At 42.0% G+C, this 19622-nt stretch overlaps 2 protein-coding genes, 1 long non-coding RNA gene and 1 other non-coding gene across 40 annotated transcripts in view, besides 5 other annotated features; 1 reads left to right on the top strand and 3 right to left on the bottom strand.

Moving 5' to 3' along the window:
• SECISBP2 (SECIS binding protein 2) overlaps positions 1–6535 on the bottom strand; it is a 48618-nt gene extending 42083 nt beyond the window's left edge. For 17 of the 36 annotated variants that reach the window (XR_007061351.1, XR_007061350.1, XR_007061352.1 and 14 more), the window contains exons 1-2: positions 6423–6535; positions 5238–5383 (exon numbers count right to left, since the gene is read on the bottom strand). Coding sequence is in view for 13 of the 36 variants with exons in the window: in XM_047423856.1 (XP_047279812.1) it covers positions 5238–5383; positions 6423–6458 (182 nt within the window). In the remaining 23 variants the exon portion in view is untranslated. Of the gene's footprint in view, positions 1–5237; positions 5384–5967; positions 6185–6422 lie in introns of those variants that run through there. The other 19 variants (XR_007061347.1, XR_929840.2, XR_007061346.1 and 16 more) reach the window with 3 other exon arrangements.
• Positions 6176–6495: a silencer, noted in NCBI's record as "silent region_20007". NCBI's record gives its function as "represses an Ori minimal core promoter by ATAC-STARR-seq in GM12878 lymphoblastoid cells {active_cell/tissue: GM12878}" and the evidence as "EXISTENCE:reporter gene assay evidence [ECO:0000049][PMID:35858748]".
• Positions 6666–6885: an enhancer, noted in NCBI's record as "active region_28529". NCBI's record gives its function as "activates an Ori minimal core promoter by ATAC-STARR-seq in GM12878 lymphoblastoid cells {active_cell/tissue: GM12878}" and the evidence as "EXISTENCE:reporter gene assay evidence [ECO:0000049][PMID:35858748]".
• On the bottom strand, positions 8332–13840 carry CKS2 (CDC28 protein kinase regulatory subunit 2). The gene is made up of 3 exons (NM_001827.3): positions 13684–13840; positions 9738–9865; positions 8332–8662 (listed from the first exon to the last, which is right to left on the bottom strand). The coding sequence occupies exons 1-3, from the start codon at positions 13740–13742 to the stop codon at positions 8610–8612; spliced, it is 240 nt and encodes a 79-aa protein (NP_001818.1). The 5' UTR covers positions 13743–13840; the 3' UTR covers positions 8332–8609.
• Positions 12729–12810, bottom strand: MIR3153 (microRNA 3153). Its single transcript, NR_036108.1, has one exon. It is a non-coding gene; the product is annotated as a microRNA 3153 (primary transcript).
• Positions 13285–13334: an enhancer, noted in NCBI's record as "active region_28528". NCBI's record gives its function as "activates an Ori minimal core promoter by ATAC-STARR-seq in GM12878 lymphoblastoid cells {active_cell/tissue: GM12878}" and the evidence as "EXISTENCE:reporter gene assay evidence [ECO:0000049][PMID:35858748]".
• Positions 14005–14294: an enhancer, noted in NCBI's record as "active region_28527". NCBI's record gives its function as "activates an Ori minimal core promoter by ATAC-STARR-seq in GM12878 lymphoblastoid cells {active_cell/tissue: GM12878}" and the evidence as "EXISTENCE:reporter gene assay evidence [ECO:0000049][PMID:35858748]".
• LOC105376136 (uncharacterized) overlaps positions 14123–19622 on the top strand; it is a 30466-nt gene continuing 24966 nt past the window's right edge. The window contains exons 1-2 of one of the 2 annotated variants that reach the window (XR_930100.4): positions 14123–14178; positions 16089–16177. This is a non-coding gene — a long non-coding RNA (uncharacterized LOC105376136). Of the gene's footprint in view, positions 14179–14232; positions 15670–16088; positions 16178–19622 lie in introns of those variants that run through there. The other variant, XR_930101.4, reaches the window with a different exon arrangement.
• Positions 14305–14534: a silencer, noted in NCBI's record as "silent region_20006". NCBI's record gives its function as "represses an Ori minimal core promoter by ATAC-STARR-seq in GM12878 lymphoblastoid cells {active_cell/tissue: GM12878}" and the evidence as "EXISTENCE:reporter gene assay evidence [ECO:0000049][PMID:35858748]".

Raw genomic sequence — 19622 nt, 5'->3', positions numbered from 1 at the left:
AATGGTTTTCTCCAGCCCTTCCCTGCTCCAAGCCCACCATGACATCCTGCGCTTTGCTGACTAACAGGGTCAGAGCGCAAAGCAGACACCGCACGGCACCGTGGATGTTAACTACACACTTTACTAACAGATGGACACCAGCTTTGAAGGTTGCTATTGCCTCAATTTATCCCAAGCTGCTAGACTAAACCAAAATATAATTTAACACTAATTTTTCTTTTTTAGCCAATTTGATACAAGGCTACAGGTTTCAACCTTTTTCCCATGAAAGCTGATACAATGACAAAATGCTAAGCAACTGATTTAAAATACAAATAGTAACCTCCTCCTTCCAGCAAATGTTTCTGTTAATTTCCGGAGCTATTCCAAAATGTACTAGTACACTGAAAGGCAAAAAATCCAAACCTAGTCATGACACACCCTTTAAGACCTTCAAACTGCTACGCTGTCAGGAGATATGAGCATAAGCACCGCTTACTAGAAATCATATTTCTAATGCGCTGCAAGTAACAGACTACACTGAATAAGAAAGGGAGACTACAGGCTCTACCTATAATATAATAACGTTTACTGCTTTCACTTCTATCCAGTACTTAATCATATATTCTCTCATCTCACTGTTTACTATTTCATGATATGTTAACTTAGATTTTCTAAGATCTTTTACTTACAGGTAAGTAACTTTAACATGAAATATTCCTAATTAAAAATCAAATAAACCCCTTTTTACTGACCTTTGTCTGTCCAACAAAACAACTGGCCTAGCACTGCTCCAAACATACAGCACTGAGGACTAGCTCTTTGTAGAAAAGAGGCTCAAAGCTTCATCCCACTGCCTACATGTTCCTGTGAATTCTGTGCTGTATTTTGTTTGTAGTTGAGAAAAGCTAGTGGGGGGCAAGTGTCACTGAAGGTGGATAATCTGTTCTTCATAAAAGATGAGTTGACAGAAAAAAAAATGTGAAAAAGACTGTCCCAAGTCCAATAAATAGATAAATGAACAGACAAATGAAATGTAGCTAAAAAGGAAAGCAGGGACAGGTTCCATTGGTTTTGACGGCTGCTGTCATCCAGGAAATTTTCATCCAGGAGTCAGGAGACCTTGGTTGGGGTCCTAGCTCAATCACAATCCAGTTTTCTATTCTGGGTAAGTCATTTGGGTTTCTGTCCCCTCACTGGTCCTTCCTCCTCTGGAAAGTTGGTATTTTCCATTTCCATCCAGTGCAAACACAATTACATGCAGAAAACAACACAAAATACAAAACATCAAAGCAGTAACTCACAGCATCTGGCGTGGCTTCAAATGGCATGTCTGGGAAATTCCAGATGCCAGGAGTGGCCCAGATGACCCTAAACCCACAGTAACACACCTGTTTCTCATTCACTGTCCTAAGCTACCCCATCCATACTAAAATCAAACTGTCTGAGTAATTGTGCAATACCTGCTGGTCTCCTGGCTCCACTTCCCTTTGCCCCTTTCCCACCAACGGCTTCCAGGTCTCCCAGGACCTCCTTCTTGCCTCTCCCTCCAGGCACCCGTTGGGTCTGGCTTGACCATCACATGACTTGAAAAGCTCCCTGGCCTGGACTTTGCTCGCCTGGCTCTCACCTGCCCTCCAAGGCTCTATCTCTGTCTCTTTCCCTAGTGCAGTCTCCTCTACACCCTCCTTATCTCACCCATCTGACACATTCTGGGTCAGAACCTCTTATCTTTCTGCTTAGGACTTGACATAAATATAAACAATCCAGCACCTTCCCTAGTCCAGGCCTCCATCTCCAACTTTCAGGTCATTTCCACTTACTATTTCACTTTTTCCCAATTCAGCACGTATAAATCCCAAATTTAACATCCATTCCCCAAAACAGCCCCATTTACAACTTCTGTTCTCATGTATGATCCTACAATTATTTCCATGTATTCAACCGAATATTTTTGTAACATCTTTCCCACCAAAACCTGTACGGACAATCATGGGGCTCTTTTTTATTTCAACAGTTCTCTCATGTAGTTTCTTTACTATTTCCAGTGCCTAGAACCTGGTCAAAGCCTTCAAGACCCTCTTCTTTAAAAATCTTTCCAAAATTTAGGAGTGATTACAATGACCCCATTTAAGACACTACCAAAAGTTCCCTATTGCCTACCCAGCAAACCTAAAACTTTTCAGCTGTACTATGCAGGCTTCCAATCTACTGACAGCTTCCCCCCAAAATTATCACTTTATTCCTCTACTATCTCCCAAACATATCATGCACATGGTCCCTTCAGTCAGGCAACGACCCAAAGGGGATGCAGTTTCTCCTCCACCCACCGAGCCACGTGCTCAGCTGTACAATGTTGTATACCACTAGTTCTTCTCATAGCTGATCTGCTTTAACTCAAAAGCATCAATTGGTACTAAAATTTTCACAGTATATTGGCAGATGGTGAAAATGCTCAACTACCTCTTGTCAATAGCAGCAGCAATTTTGAAGAATAGCACGTTAATTCTGGTTCTGGTGCTACCTATTTGAATTAGCATGAACAAACATTCCTAGCTTCAGTTTCCCATGTGCAAAATAACATTACATCTGCCTGCCACCTCATGGATTGTAGTAACTATGAAAGAAGTGGAAGTATACAATAATACCCAAACAAAAGGCACACATCCTCATACACAGGTTGCACAGGATTTTTCACAAAGGATGTAACATGACAATGGACATTACTTGGAAGAAACTTATTTTGTTTGCATAGGCAAATTTGTTCATTACATCAGTAAATAATCAGTATTTTCCAAACATGGCAAATGTTATCTATCAGACTACTTCTAATTTCTTTGTCTTGTCCTATAACATAAATATGGAAGAGTCTGGTATGTTCATTTTCATCTCCATCACTTCAAAACTATGGAAGACTTTCAATAATTAATTCCAAATGAATAAATGAGCATCTTTGAGTGCACTGTGAAAGGTACTGGAGGAGGACAAATTCTGTAAAAGGTTACTATACCTTCTTTAAGGAAAGATGAGGGAAGGGGACATACAAAGTTGACTTAGGATGCTATGTAGTTGAACAAGTAAGAAGGAGGAAATAGTTGTTTCAGAAACTTCTATTCCTTTTGTCACAGCAGCAAGAGATCTCCATTTACATGTAATCTGACTATGGCAATGCAATTTTTAATCTATATTAGAACTGCTCAGATAATCAATTCTCAACCATGTGAAGTCTCATTATTTCATCCCCACTTTAAAGGATCTTTTCCTTTCTAACTCTTCCTCTTCAACTTAATGCCTTCCTTATCCTTGTTTTCTTGCCAGGCGTGAATACTTTTCCTTGGTCATAAACCAAAGCTAAAAAAGAAGAGTTAAGAAAACTATTTTTTTTTTTTTGAGAGAGAGTCTTGTTCTGTTGCCCAGGCTGAAGTGCAGTGGCGCAGTCTTGGCTCACTGCAACCTCCATCTCCTGGGTTCAAGCAATTCTCTACCTCAGCCTCCCGAGTAACTGGGATTACAGGCACCTGCCACCACACCCGGCTAATTTTTGTATTTCTGTAGTAGAGATGGGGTTTCACCATGTTGGTCAGGCTCGTCTTGAACTCCTGACCTCGTGATCCACCCGCCTTGGCCTCCCAAAGTGCTGGGATTACAGGCATGAGCCACCACACCCGGCCAAGAAAACTAATTTTTAAATTCAGCACTGCCCATTCTTGAGTCTCTGATTAGTCTCCACTCATGTTACTGCCAAAATGTTCCTTTAGCCATGTGAATGTTTTCCACCACTATTTTGAGTAACTAAATACCACCTAGCAGATGGCTTTGAGCTCTTGTCACTGAGATATATTTTTGTATTTTGTTATGTGAGACACTCAAGGTAGGGAACAACTCAAGTGAGACCCATGCCAAACTCCCCTTTACAGTGGATGAAATACAGTGGAAAAATAGGGTATTCCTACCAAAGACCAAATTCCAGCATATAAAGGTAGTGTTTCAACTTTCGTCAAAAAAATACAACTTTCAGTATTTCCTAAACACAAAAGACAACTCAATCATTTTCTTATTCATTACAATTCTCATTCTTGCAAATATAATTCTAGAATTTATATACAGTACAAACTATTTTCAATTACATCATGCAGGCACAAATAAAAGGAAACAAGTTAGAATCATATCAAAGAAGAAAAAAGCATTAGGATTCTTAGATTAGAACTACACCTGATGCAAATCTTAAAAACAGATCTACAAATAAATCTACACAATTATGTGAAAGATTAATACTTTTTTTGTCTAAATTCAGCTGCAAGAGGAAGCCATTTTGTAAACCTAGAGAATGAATCCTGAGAAGGAAAAAGAAAATGTAAGGAAAAATGTAAGCCTTCTTTCAACTCAAATTTAGAAGAACTTAAGCCTGAAATGTGTAAAATTCATCTCCATATTAACAGATATAAAGTAAAAAGGTGGAAAGCAAAAGTCAACAATTTCCAAAAAATTATCCACACAGAGGCAGCTATGGTTGCTAGTCCCCTCCCCTTCGCTCAACAAGATTTTAAAATGTTAACCTTAAAAAGGAGGAGTACGTTTATTTGGTCCTTTCTTTGCCCTTCCCTCCACATTTCATCTCCCATTAGATATATGATATATTTTTAAACCATATGAACAAATGAACCTTGAAACGGGATTTTTTTTTTTTTTTTTTTTTTTTTGAGACAGAGTCTCACTCTGTCAGCCAGGCTTGAGTGTAGTGGTGCTATCTTGGCCCACTGCAACCTCTGCCTCCCAGGTTCAAAGGATTCTGCTGCCCCAGTCTCCCGAATACCTGGGATTACAGGTGTCCGCCACCATACCTGATTAATTTTTGTATTTTTGTGGAGACGGAGTTTCACCATGTTGGTCACACTGGTCTTGAACTCCTGACCTCAGGTGATCCACCCACCTCGGCCTCCCAAAGTGCTGGGATTACAGGCGTGAGCCACAGCGCCTGGCCTGAAACTGCATTTCTTATTAACAAATGCAATGCAGTCTCTACTATTTCTTTGCCGAAAATAACAATGAGTATGAAGAAAAAAAAGGGGAGTTAAAGCTTCTGTTTTTGGCACAGGATACAGTTAAGTTGTGCTACTGGCTCAGACTCTTCTTGGTTGAAGAGCATTCTCTCATCATCTGCAGAACTTTAGTGCAGTAACTGCTGAGTATTTGAAAGTCTAATCACCATTAAATCCAAAATGTAAGCCCCTAGGTAAGACTTTTAGAAAGATACATACTCTGTCACTGGTGGTTCCTGAACAAACGGATAGTATGTGGCTGCAGAGCTGGGGAAGACACATGCTTCTGAGGACTCTAACCATGCCACATTGAGCCCGGCAAATCTGGGGACAAATGGTTTGACATCTGCTGATAACTTGATGCCCTGAGGAAAAATATGAGGTTTTGGCCACAAACATTCAGAGATCAAGCAAATATAAACAAACAAAAAGACCCAAGAGGTGTTCCTAATAGCCCCAGAAATGTTCCCGATGTTGTTTAAAAACTTCTGCCTCGTAAAGACAAGAACCTGCTTGCTAACGATTTCTCCCCAATGCTTTTTTTTTTGTAGAAAAGGCAGTAGTTCAAACATTAAAAGTGAAAAATGACAACGAATTCAAGTGGAAATAAAACAACACAGATTATATAGTTTAGATCTTGGAATAAGGGTGTTTTTACCACAGATTCACTTAGAAATAATAGAACTGCACACAGTACAACTACTGCAGTCAAATACACGTGGACTGTTTAACTACAGCACCCAAAACACACTGCAGACGTTTATTTCCATTACATTTTCTTGAAAAAGTTGCACAAAAGCATATGCATTTTACTCATGAACCACTAAGTCTTGCTTTATTGAAATACCAAACCTTGCTTTGCTAGAAAATATTATCACCACGAGCCTTTGAAATTTCAATTCACTAAGATTTCTTTCTTTAGTTTTTAGTGACGTAGTAAGAGATTTACTTTCACCGAGAATTTTATGGGTCTAAAAATGATGCAAGCGATCGCCAGGGCTCCATCTAGTGGTAATGCTGAGTACGTAGAGCGGAGAATGACGTTCAGAAAAACGCAGGATCCTTTAAAACAATCTATCCGTTCCCAAGAGCGCGGGAAGCTCGCCAGAGTCCCCCCGCCCCGACTGCGGGGAGCGCCGGGCTGGGCCGCAGTCACTGCGCTGGGTGACATCGCACCACAGACGCGGCGCTAACTGTGGGCGGGGTCTGTAGCCGCTGACCGCCACCCCAAGGCGGACCCGAGGCGGGGCGCGAAGATCGCGGCCACCCGGTAGGGCGCTCCCGTGCCGTCACCAGCATCCGACCCACGCCCGCTGGACCAGCCCCGTCACCGCCCGGCCGAGCCCCCAGTGCGAGGCAGGCGGACGGACTGAGGCTGCCGAGAGAGCCCCCGTCGGCCCTTACCTCGCTTTCGGGCTCCCGCGGCCCCTCCGACGCCATGCCGCGAGGCGCGGAGGAGGCCGCGTCACGGAGGCCAGCAGCGGGCCGTCGGCTTGCCGGACAGACAAAGCGTTTCCGCCCCCGCAGGCGACGCCAGGAAGTGCGTCACAGCAAAGCGACAGAGCCCGCCCTTTCTTCCGGCCGGAAGTACGCGGCGGCGGCACTGGACCTGCGCGGGCAGCACGTGGAGGCAGTGGGGCGCTTGCGGAAAATGGGGACCCCCAGGAGTCCTCTGGGCTGGGGACCCACCGTAGCTTGCGGGAGTCTTGGATCTGCCTTTTAGTGCTGGGATATCGGAGATAGTCTCCACCAAGGCAGTAGCGACTATAAACAAGAGTTAGGCCGTGATTTACTTTTCTCCCCTGGGCCTCACGAGTCTAGCGTTAGGACGGGATGGGGTAGTCTGGAAAGGCCTCTCGCTGAGGTGACCTTTGAGCAGTCACCTGAAGAGAAAGATTTACTAATAAGGAAACTGAGGAGGCCGAGATTACTCTCACCCCCGCCACTGCATTTCCCTAAAATTTCCCCAAGATTGGTGACTTACAGGAATTGCATACCCTGTAGGTCCTACAAACCTGGAAAGCCTACAAGACTCTTGATGGTATCCTAAATTTCCAGAAACCTTAAGTTTGGAAGTAGCCACAGAAAATAATTTAAAAATCGCTCGGTTTCTTTCAAAAATTAAAAAAAGTGCTAAGATATGGTCAAGAGATGGAATAGTATAATTTTCACGAGAAAAAAAAAGTTCTACACAGAGCAAATTCGTTAAATATTGAGAGAAATGTATAAAGTGCGGCAGGGATAGGAGGTTGACCAAAAGTACAGGGAAGAATGCAGAGTGGATTTCAATAGATGGAGGAGGAACTTTCCTCTCACTCAAAGGCTTGGAGGAAAGTGCAAGTGGATTTAAGGAACAGAAAATGTCAGCAAAACAGGCTATTTGAGGAATGGGGATTAGGTTGAGGCAAATTGTAGGTTTCCTCTGTCCCTTGCACAGACGTTAACTCTACCATTGAATACGAAGTATTTCAAGCAAGTAAGGCAGGTGCAGCTCCAGTTTTTTCAGATTTCTGTCCTGGTGGGTCTCAGTTCACTACACAGCCTCTAGCAGAAGTGATCCTTAGGGTCTGGTCTGGCAGGAATTTATGCTGGAAGTTTAGGGGTAGCTGTCGCCTTCCTTTCAGCACTATTGGGTCTACCCGGAAGTGTAATGAAGTTTACTTGATTTTGTCATGTTTCTGTTGGTTACCCTGGACACAACCTATGGTAGTGGCAGTAGATTTTAGGATGCTGCTAATCACAACCTTCAAAATTTATTGCCCTCATGTGTAAAGACACCCTTTCTTAACCAATGGACCTGATGTATGCTGGCTGCTCATTTAAGATGTTTCTATAGCATAGCAATTAATTAGAATAACTCCAAAACACTTTCCTAGCAGCTAAAAAGGCAAAGGTGTTTTACAGTGTTTTTGAACTTTTAAAAATGTGGTGATACTTTATAGGAAACATTATCCCTACTTTGGAAATGTAGAAGAGGATAAAAAAGAGGTTTCTCCCAAGACCACCAGTGGCCAGTGAAGTAGCCCAGATAGTATTAATTTGGGCTTTCCTGTTCTAGACAATTCTCCAGGAATTCAAGAGGTAAAATCTACTTTGGCTTTAGTTTAAACATATCCCTGGTAATTAATTTCTTCATTAAGTGAATTAAATGGTATCCAGATCATACCGCACTATTTTAAACTCATTTAACATCATCTTTAAGGTAAGTTAACTTCCTCAGAGCTAAAACTATAACACTGAAATCAATTTCAATAGTCACAAATTTCAATAGTCACAAATTAAGAAAATATACCTCAAAAACTTGAAACAGTGATAAATGCAACATACAAACTTTATTGAACAAAAGTAAACTGTTTCAGTAAACTCAAACAGGCACTTAAGAGAAAAACTGACTGGAAGAACTTTTATCTTAAACATCTTACAGTAACCTACTTGCAGTTGCATTTAACTGAGCTCTGTTGCTGTGAAGAATACAGCTCATGCACAGGTATGGATGAAAGATTTGTACATTTCTCAAGTATTCACTGAATACTACCTTATATACACATATACATTAAATTTGAAAAAGATTTGACGATCCCCAGATAAACTTCATTTTTGTTGATCTTTTGGAAGAGGTCGTCTAAAGAGAAGAATATGTGGTTCTGTGGAAAGAAAATGTTTTGAATCATTTTAATATGATTTTCATATACTCAACAGAAATTCAAAAGTATTCTCAACTAAGCCAGAATAAAATAAACTAAGTCCACTATTAATTGGTTTGAGGTATCCAAAATGATTTTTTTTTCACAGTTACTGTCTACAGTAAATAGATTAAAAGTAAAAAGATTACCTCTTTATAGGGAAAAACACCTCCTTCAAATCACCTACAGGATCTCATACTAATGCTCATCCCCATAGATTCTGTTTCAATAGGTGGGGCACAGAAATCTACACTTAAGTTCTTCAGTTGCTTTTGTATTATCTGGACTGAATTCTAATAGGATTACGTATCTCAATCCCAAGAAAGTGATGAGTCCTTTTAGAGTTTTCGATGCAATGCTTTTCTTTAACAGCAGAGTAGAAGATAGTTTTAATTCCACCTACTTCAGCTTCTATAGTATGTCTTCAAATTTTGTTCAAAGCATTATAAATGCTGTTAGATTTACTGATAATCCAAATATAAAATTTAACCCACACTGTTTTAGTCTAGAAAACCCACAAAGTTTTAGTAGAGTTTACTATTTAACACCTGAAAAACTTTTGGTTAATACCACATAATAGCATAAGGTACCCATAAGCACAGTTGAGTTCATATGCTATTACCTCATTTAAACTTCATGTGGTATATATCCTTTCAGAGGGCTGAAGAATCACTTTAAATTAAATCAATTTCCACACATAGATAAGAACACTTGTCTTAGGATATACTTATGATAAAATGCTTTGGGATACTGTTAACAATGATACAGATTTTAAAATACATTTTTTTTTTTTTTTTTTTACTTCTTACATTATTTTCCAAGTAGAATAATGTGTTACTTTCACTGCTGTGGTATTTTATTTACCATAAAATTGGAACTCTCTCCAGAGTCAAGAAATTAGTCATTAAAAAAAAAAACTTATCAGAACAGTTACTTTCAGATATCATTTGATGTCAATGATATTTTTAAAATTTTGACAACCATAACCACCAATATTTCAACAATTACTGCTTTACTATAACATAGCATAGCTTACCTGGCTCATGAATCATGTAATGAACCCAGCCTAGACTCTGTTGGACACCAAGTCTCCTCCACTCCTCTTCAGACATCAGATGAGTTTTAGGTACTTGTTTGGAAAGTTCTCTGGGTAACATAACATGCCTGTTACAAGATACAGCCAAGTGTTAGTCCAGTGCCTTTTCTACAACTGTCGCTTTATACATGTACCTTAAGGAACTCTGTTGCTTTAATATTGAGAACTGCAATCTACTACCTTTAATTCTGATATGATGGCCTATGTTCAAATTAGGGAGCTAAGAGTGCACAATCCAAAAGCAGAAAGCATTTTCCATAGGATTAATCTTTTTCTCTTATCACAGAATGCTTACCAGTTGCCTTAATCTTCTTCAGGAAGAGAACCCCAAAATATAAGTTGAACATATGGTTACCAGCCTCCAAATCATAAGCCAACAAGATATAAGAAAATGTGTAACTTATTATGAAAAGTGTTCTCAAAGGGAAAGAACATGCTGAACTCTTTTTCTCCTTCTTGTTGAATGCACATTAATATGATCAGGGAGCCAGAGCAGGAATCTAGGACCATAGAAGCAACTGTAAATTGAGAACGGTAAAGCAACAAGAGGTAAGGACCCAGCCTAGTCCTTGACTGTAAAGCTGTTATCCCTGCCCCAGATTATTAGACTTTTATGTAACGAAAAAATCTAAGTTACAGTTAATTTGGGTTTCCTCTTACTCAACACTAGCTTTGTAGTAGCTACTAGTCCTTGTATGCTCCAGAAGTTGCTTTATACTTCAAGTACTTTGTTCAAAATTAAAAACAGAAAACCACTAACTGTACATACACATTGTGTGCAACCTCACCGTTTTCCAGTTAATTTACTGACCTATATCCAAAACTTACATTGTTCAGTTTCTTAGGCAAGCATGGAATAACCTTCAAAGTTAAACCATCAATATGTATAATTGTAGCCTTACGAGATTCTCAAAAACAAATCTGTATCATTAACAGTATCCCAAAGCATTCTATCAAAGATTTGCCTAACAAATCTCTTTCCCCAAATTGAGTAAGAATTTTTACTCAATTACCATAAAAAGGACTTTATGAAAGTCACAATTCTCAGCTCCATGTTTACCACCTGCAGTAGTAGCAACAGTTTTATACTGAACCATCCATAACCACCAACCCAAATTTTTAACCAGTATAAGATATCTGTCTGTGAGTCAGCTGGCTGGGGATGAATGAGGTGCAATCTGGTCACTTTCTGAGACACAGTAAACTGAATCCCTAACCCGCTATAAGCACCCAGCTGTCATCAACTTAAATTTTAGTCTGTGGTTAAGTACCAATTTATTTGCAGGGCAAAGTGAGCCTCAGAAAAATTCTACTGTGTTGTTAGATTGCCTTAAGGCCACCAAGTCATAGCTTACTACCATAATTTGTAGAGTTTTCATCAATTCCAGTGAACTATATAGTGATTCTTTGTAATTCTTACCAGTTATCACCCACATTCTTGAAATGCTGCTTTAACATCTAACTTCAAATAATCTGTTATCTTATTTCTACGTTCTATCTTGTTGATTATTCTCAAAGAGAAATGTAGTGCTTTTGTACCTTTTCTATCAAACTTACAGAGTACATAAATCTACCAACAAGTTATTTAGATAGAAGTTACCACCCTTCTCCATAAACACGGAAACAGGCTCTCCTCCATCAGGGTTTCTTTATAAAGGAAAAATGTTTAAGTAGCATCAACCCCATATGAGGATTCTACCTGTATTTTGCCACACAGAGATTTCAAACTAACTACATGTAAGGAAAATTATTTCCAAAATCTAACGTTTATTTCAGTTGAAATGCAAAATAGTGCAAGTATTACTAATTTGTAAGGCTGCCCAGAAAAATTAACAGTTTTTCTCTTGTGAAAACAGACTTCCATGATGTGGGGGTGGGGGCACCCACTGTTATGCCCTTAGAAACATTAAGACCCTCACGTAAAAGGACTAGGAAATTAAGTTTGTAATTAAGAAAAATCAAAGAAAGATAGAGATAACTGCACACTGGGAAAAATAAATACTAGCCTTTGAAATTTACATTGCATGCTGCACCATTACATATTAATACAAACCACCCTAGACTCATGCCTTAGTGCTATATTATTACTAGTTTCCCCTTTAAAATTATGTGTGGAAATTACTATCCTGTTTCATAAAGGTTACTGGCTTGGCCAATTAATACCAGCTCTAATTTTTATTGGATTAAAATACATCACTTCAGATATGTAAACTTTCTTCTATACATTACCACACACAAATCATTTGAGTATATTAAAACTAAAAAATCGACCTACTGCCATCAGAAAGAAGTCTGAGAAATAGCTTCATTTATTTTCAATATTATACCCTAAAAGAAACTTGTACCGACCCTTAAATCCTTATCCTAAACACTTGGCACCAGATGTGTTTCAGAATAATTTTCTAGGTTTTAGTAAGATTATTACGGTTTACATTGTGTTCATTATTGGATATCCTCAATAGGGCTCTTGATTAACATCGCATAATTGAACACTGCCAGCATATTACACGAGTATAGTTTATTATTACTATAAGGTTAACACAATCTACTTGAAATTTACCTACAGCCAGAAAAACATGCTATTTTTCTAGCTAGGAATACAAAAGGGTGCAATTACTACTACCCATAGAAATATTCAGTAGTCCTCATGTGAAAACAGACTTCCATGCTACTAGGGAGGGGGAGAAAAAGAGAAACCACCCACTGTTTTGTTCTTTCTTCCTTAAATAGCATTCGGAGAAATCTAACCTACAAAGGCAGCAGACAGAAAACAAGGTCACAATTTGGCCAACGATGGCATGGGCTTTATCTCCCCTAAATCTTGGTAGTATCCCAGAACGCAGCGTTCTAGTCGCTACCTAGTTAAGAAAAAGGGGTTGACTGTTTTCTGAAGCCACGCCCTAAATGAAGTGTCCCGCATACAGTAAGGACAACAAATTTTAAATGTCCCTACTCGCTTTCCCCCAATCTACTTTAATTGGGGGGAAGGGGACAGGGACATTTAAAATTTGTCTAATTTTACTGATCGATTACAGCCACCATGTTCTAGTACGGTGCTTCAGGACTCAAACGCAAAAGTTTCTCAAAGCCCAAAATTTGGCCAGTGTATACTAGCAGAAAATGATGCCCAAAGTCCACTCAAGTTCTTAATCGGCCTTAAAATGAAACTCCTTTAATAATACCCTCAATTGTATGACTGCGGCTAACCTATAATGGCCCAAATCACCATACCCAGTAAACATTTTCGAATCCCCATCAAGCTCATTTTTCGGGGGGTCGCCTCCAAAGCTTATTCTTATACCACTCACTTCAAAAACAAGAAAAAGAAAAGTGTTCCTCTGTGTTAACAGATGAAAATGACCATTTGACCATTCTAAACCACAAACTAGTAAAAGCTGCATCACCCCGTCAGCGACAGGGAAAGTGTGTCACGGTTGCTAAAGGAAAAAGGACGGCACCAGGTGGGTTTTCCTGGACTGGTTCAAAGAACTGGAACTGAGACCAGCTACTGAACGGCCTAATTACTTCGGCCACGGCCGAGAAAAAAGTGACGGGATGGTCACTCCGCGTCGCCGAGGACCCCATGACCCCCAAGTTGCGCCGGTTCCTACCCAGGTACTAAATGCGGCCCGGTGGGCACTCTTCCCTCACCCTCCGCGCACACCGAACAAAGGCCCAACCGGCCCGGCGCGGCCAGGCACCCAACCATGTCCGACTGCGCGGGGCGCCAGGTGGCCGCGACCCCAAACCCCGGCCCTCGCCCTCCGGCCCCGGGCTCCGCCCCCCAGGCCCCGGCCCCCACCCCCGACCCTACTATGCCTGGGTCGCCCCGCCCGCGGGGGCCCCGGCTGAGGGAGCCGGCTCGGGGTCTAAGAAAGGCGCCCACCGGTACTCGTAGTGTTCGTCGAAGTACTTGTCCGAGTAGTAGATCTGCTTGTGGGCCATCCTGCTGGCGCGCTGCAGAAAATGAAACGAGAGCGCGAAGAGCGGGCGCAGCAGACAAAACCACGTCCAGCCCAGGCAACAACTCGCCGGAGACTAACGACCGCAGTCCCAACGATCCGGATTTGAATCCGACAGCCCGCCGCCGATTGGACAGCAGCGCCGACCAATCACCTTCTGCGGAAGTCGGCCGGCTGCCAGCCTATCGTCGCCGCCGCCTCGCAAAGTCCGCTTCCTGGGTCAGCCAATCAGAGATCTGTTGCGAGGTTGCCCGAGGGAAGATAGGTACGTCACGGGGGTGGCAGGGCCCTTAACGGGCAGGGGCGTGGCCAGAGGAGGGCGAAGTCGGGACGTTAAGGGCCGCAGAGCGCGTGCGCAGGAACGTGGAAAGTTCCAGGACACGGAACCGTTGGGACGGAGGACCTGAAGGTGGAGTGAGGTATCACGGGGTTTGGTGATGACGTAGTCGGTCGAGGCCGGAAGCGTGGGCCACAGGGCTTTGAGCGGAAGCTGTCGACCTTGCACGGTGATGGCGCTCCTCGTGATCCCTTGTATCCCCTCAGGCTCGAGCCAGGAGCCTAGGTCCACTTTGAAAAGTAGTAAAAGGCAGAAAGGTTCTGCGGTGTGAGGGGGAGGGCGGCTTCGTGGTCGGCTGGGTCGGGGGAGCGCCGGGCGGCCGCGGCGTGGCTGTGTCCGGGGCTGCCCTGCGCAGCCGGCCGTTTCGCCGCCTGGTGCACTTGCTGAGCTTCCGGCCTGGCCCGTCGCGGGGCTCCTGGCGCCCCCCTAGACGACTGTGTGGAGAATGGAGCCTGCGGAGCCACGCGTAGAGAGAGGCCCGGAGCCGGCGCGGTGGCGGCGGGCGCCAGTGGTCCCAGCCACTCGGGAGGCCGAGGTGGAGTGTCGCTTGAGCCCAGGAGTTCCAGACAGGCCTGAGCAACAGAGCCAGACCCCGTCTCCACAAAGAAAGAAACAAATGGGCCAGAGACCCAGAATGCTTTCTGTAGCCTAACCTAATGTTCAAAACCAGGGCAGACCCAAGCCATGGAAAGCTTGAGGGAATAAAATAATATTCTGCTGCGGCCAAGAATAACAATGCTAATTCCTGGATAAGGGGATTTAAAATGATGTTTAACAACTTCTGGTCTTTTAATATTGACCCAAGTTTAAAAACATGTTCATATAAAAAAGTTACTGGAAGAAATTTATAAATGTAACTGGTGGTTATTTTTAGATGACAGAATTAAAAGTGATCTTTTTGGTATTTTTTCCACAACGAGCACGTGTCATTTTTATGTTAATTTCATTTTATGCGAAATGCTCCAGCGCAGTACAGGCTAGTGGGTTCAGGGTGGCTGTGACTAAGTAATGTAGATGGGGTACCTTAGACAAAGTTTCCAGACTAGAGGCTGGAAGTAAGAGGTCCGGGTGCCCTTTTCCACACTGCAGACCACGGACTTTTCCGGTTTCTGAACAAGTGAGACAGGCCGGCTAAGGACATTTATAATCTCCATGGGTGAGGGCCCCACCCTCATGACCATCTAATCTTGATTACCTCCCGAAGGCCCCACCTCCTAACTTCCTAATACAATCACTTCTTGGGGGAAGAGGGTGTTTGGAATTCCACCCCCCGCCCTTTTTTTTTTTTGGAGACAGTCTCACTCTGCTGCTCAGGCTGGAGTGCAGTGGTGTGATCTTGGCTCACTGCGACCTCCCCCTCCCAGGTTCAAGCCATTCTGCCTCAGCCTCCAGAGCAGCTGGGATTACAGGCCCAGCTAGTTTTTGTATTTTTAGTAGAAACGGGTTTTCATCATTTTGGCCAGGCTGGTCTCGAACTCCTGACCTCAAGTGAACTGCCCGCCTTGGCCTCGCAAAGTGCTGGGATCGTCAGAGGCAAGTGAACCAGAGCACCTTCATCTTAAACAGGAGCTGGGTAAGATGAGCCTAAAACCTACTGGGCTGCATTCCCAGACAGTTAAGGCATTCTAAGTCACAGGATGAAATGGGAGGTCAGCACAAAATACAGGTCATAAAGACCTTGTTGATGAAACAGGTTGCAGCAAAGGAGCCAGCCAAAACCCACCAAAACCAAAATGGCGAAGAGAGTGACTTTGGTCCTCACTGTTACACTCCCACCAGTGCCATGACAGTTTAGAAATGCCATGGCAACATCAGGAAGTTACCCTACATGGTCTAAAAAGGGGAGGCATGAATAATACACCCCTCGTTTAGCATATAAGCAAAAAATAACTATAAAAATGGGCAACCAGCAGCCCTCGGCTGTTCTGTCTATGGAGTAGCCATCCTTTTATTCCTTTACTTTCTTAATAAACTTACTTTCATTTTGCACAGTGGACTCACCCTGAATTCTTTCTTGCACGAGATCCAAGAATTCTCCCTTGGGATCTGGACTGGACCCCTTTCCTGTAACAGAATTACAGGTATGAGCCACAACACCCGGCCTGGAATTTCCACGCATGATTTGGTGGCTGGGAGCAGACACAAACATTCGTTCATACATGATAGAATCCTTCAGGTCTCAGATTAAGCATTTCATCTTCTGAAAGGCCTTCCTTAATCAACTTCTCTACAGAAAGTTCTTCAATTTCCCCATTATGCCCTTGCCACCGACTCCAGTGGGCTTCCCTCCCACTGTCGCAATTGCATGTTTGCTTAGGTGGTGGTTGTCTCCCTATCTGCGCTATAAAATACTCTCTGTTAGTGAGCCAAGACTGTGCCACTGCACTCCAGCCTGGGCGACAGAGCGAGACTCCGTCTCAAAAAAAAAAAAAACAACTCTGTGAAGCTAGTGTAGAGGCCATGTCTGTCTTGTTCACCACGGAGTGCCTAGCACATAGCAGAGTTCCTTGCACATAAGCACACAATAAGAAGTAAATTTTAGGCACAGTATAATAAGAGTAAATAATTAGGTATAATTACTATGATGGCAAAAATGTGAATAAACTGTTAAGGAAAATGGACAAGGAAATTACTTTCTGGCAGAACCTGGGGGAAAAAAACTTCCTGGGAGATATATTTTTAAATAAATGTATAGATGCTCCTTAATTTACAATGGGATTACATCCTGACTAGTCAAAAAAATTTTAAGTTGAACCATTGTAAGTCAAGGACCATCTGCACTGTGAAAAGTTCAAACACATGGAATAATAGAATCAACTCCCATGTACAGGTTGTGCATCTTTAATCTGAAAATCTGAAATGCTCCAAAAGTCCAAAACGTTGAACAACACTGACATGAGCTCAAAGGATATGCTCATTGGAGCACTTCAGATTTCAGATTTTCCTATTAGAGATACTGAACTGGTTAACAAAATGCCCATATTCCAGATTCCAAAAAACCCTGAAACACTTCTGGTCCCAAGTGTTTTGGGTAAGGGATACTCAACTTGTTCCAGTCATTTAGCTTCAGCAATTACCGTTTGCCAATCATGTTTCATCTGTTCCTCTCTAACTTTTTTTTTCTAGAATATTACTGAAGAGATCTCAGATATGTCAGTTCACTCCTAAATAAAACTTTTCAGTGTATCTCTGTGTTTATGGTGTGCATCTCAGGAAAATTTTTTAAAAAATGCATAACCACATCATACTTACGCTTAGACGTCCTTAATACTCTTTGATAGCTGTTTTAGACTCACATTTCCCTGACTGCCTCACCAAAGCTTTTTATAGTTTGTTTAACCCTGCTTTCAAACTTGGGCCTACATCTTGCATTTTGTTATTGTCTCTCTTTTTTTTTTTTTTTTTGAGATGGAGTTTCACTCTTGTTGCCCAGGCTGGAGTGCAATGGCGCGATATCTGCCCACTGCAGCCTCTGCCTCCTGTGTTCAAGCAATTCTCCTGCCTTAGCTTCCCAAGTAGCTGGGATTACAGGTGCCCTCCACCATGCCCAGCTAATTTTGTATTTTTAGTAGAGATGGGGTTTCTCCATATTGGTCAGGCTGGTCTTGAACTCACGGCCTCAGATGATCCGGCTGCCTCAGCCTCCCGAAGTGCTGGGATTACAGGCGTGAGCCCCCGCACCCGACCACATTTTGTTATTGTCTCTTTTAGTCTTCTTTAAACAACCCCCCAACCTCTACCTACATAGACACCCTCCCCACACACACCCCTGCCACCTTTTTTAACATCTGTTCATCAAACCAGGTCATTTTTGCCTGTGGAACGTTACACATTCTGGATCTGTGTAATTGTTTCCTTGTGGTGCAGTTTCCCTGGTTTTTCTATTTCTTGTATTTGTTACAATCTGGCATTTAGATCTAGGTTAAAACAAAACAAAACCATTTACCAAAAATTCCTAGTAAGTGGCAGACTCATATTTGAGCCCAAACTGTCTGACTCCAGAGTTAGGCCTCTTACCCACTATTCTGTTCTGTCTCTTAGAGTTCCACAGGTAGAAAGCCAGGAGGGCCAAGCACCTTTCCAAAGGAAGGATTGGTAGTTGTAAAGGTGTGAGGAAGTGTGGTACACACAGAAAATGCTGAATAGGTTTGGCTTAGATTGTAAAAGTCATGGAAAGGAAAGTTGTGGGAAGTGAATGTAGGAGGATGAATGTGGTAGAAAAATGGCCCCCAAAGATGTCTGTCTTAGTCAATTTTATGTTGGTATAAAGGACTACCACAGCCTGGGTAATTTATAAAGAAAAGAAATTTATTTCTTACCATTTTGGAGGCTGGGAAGTCAAAGGTAGAGGGGCAACATCTGGTGAAGGCCTTCTACTGCATCATAACATGGTGGAGGGCATCCCATGGAGGGAGGGCAAGGGCCAGCCGGCTCAGGTGTCTCTTCCTCTTCTTATAAAGCCACAGTCCCGTCATGGGAGCCCCACCCTGATGACTTTAATCTTAATTACCTCCCAAAGGCCCCACCTCCAAATACCATAAACATATAAATTTGGGGATTAAGTTTCCAACACGTGAAATTTGGGGGACACATTCAAACCACAGCAATGCTCATATCCTAATCTTTGGTATCTGTGAATGTTACCTTACACAGCAAAAGAGACTTTACAAATGTGATTAAATTAAGGATTTTAAGATAGGGAGATTATCTTGGATTATCAGAGTGGTCAAATGTTATCACAGGGGGCCTTAGAGGAGGGAGACAGGAGGGTCTGTAAAGGAGCTGGGATAAAAACAGAAGTCAGAGTAATGTGACCACGAGGCAAGTGCTGCAGGTGGCTTTTTGAAGCTGGGAAAAAGAAACAGATTTCTTCCCTAGAGTCTCCAGAGTGAACTCAGTCCTGCTGACATAATTTTAGCCTAGTCAGACCTATTTTGGACGTCTGACCTCTGTACCTATAAACTACATGTGACTAATAGAATAGAAACAATATCACAGTGTGATGTTCGCTGCAGCTTTGTAATTGTAGATGCCCTTTCTCATTTTAAAAATTCTTTTATTCCTAGCTTGCTGAATTTTGATCAAAAATAGACACTGTATTTCATCAAATGCTTTAAAGCCTTTCAGTTTTATAGTTAATTCCAAACTTTTTTACAACTATGAATATAAGTTGTAAATATAAAAGAGCTGAAAAGATCTTAGTAACTTCAGTCTTAAGGAAAAGTCACATGGAAATATTATTGAAAACTAAATAGCTGAAATAAAAAATTTAGTAAGTAAACTGAATGCACAGTGGATACAAATGAAGAGCTAATTATTGAACTAGAAGATTATGTTGAATACCAGCCCCAGAAAGCATTAGGAAGGAATAAAGAGATGGTAAATATGAAGTATAAAGACATGGAGGCTAGAAGTAGAGGTGACAACTGTCATTAAAGAAGAGTCCCAAAGGGAGAGAAAAAATAAACAGAAGGGAGGAAATACTTGTACAAATAATGGCCGTGAATTCCCTAGTTTTAAAGAAAG

Source organism: Homo sapiens, chromosome 9 (genome assembly GCF_000001405.40).
Source record: "Homo sapiens chromosome 9, GRCh38.p14 Primary Assembly".
Taxonomy (NCBI): domain Eukaryota; kingdom Metazoa; phylum Chordata; class Mammalia; order Primates; family Hominidae; genus Homo; species Homo sapiens.
This window is presented reverse-complemented; position numbering and strand designations above follow the sequence as displayed.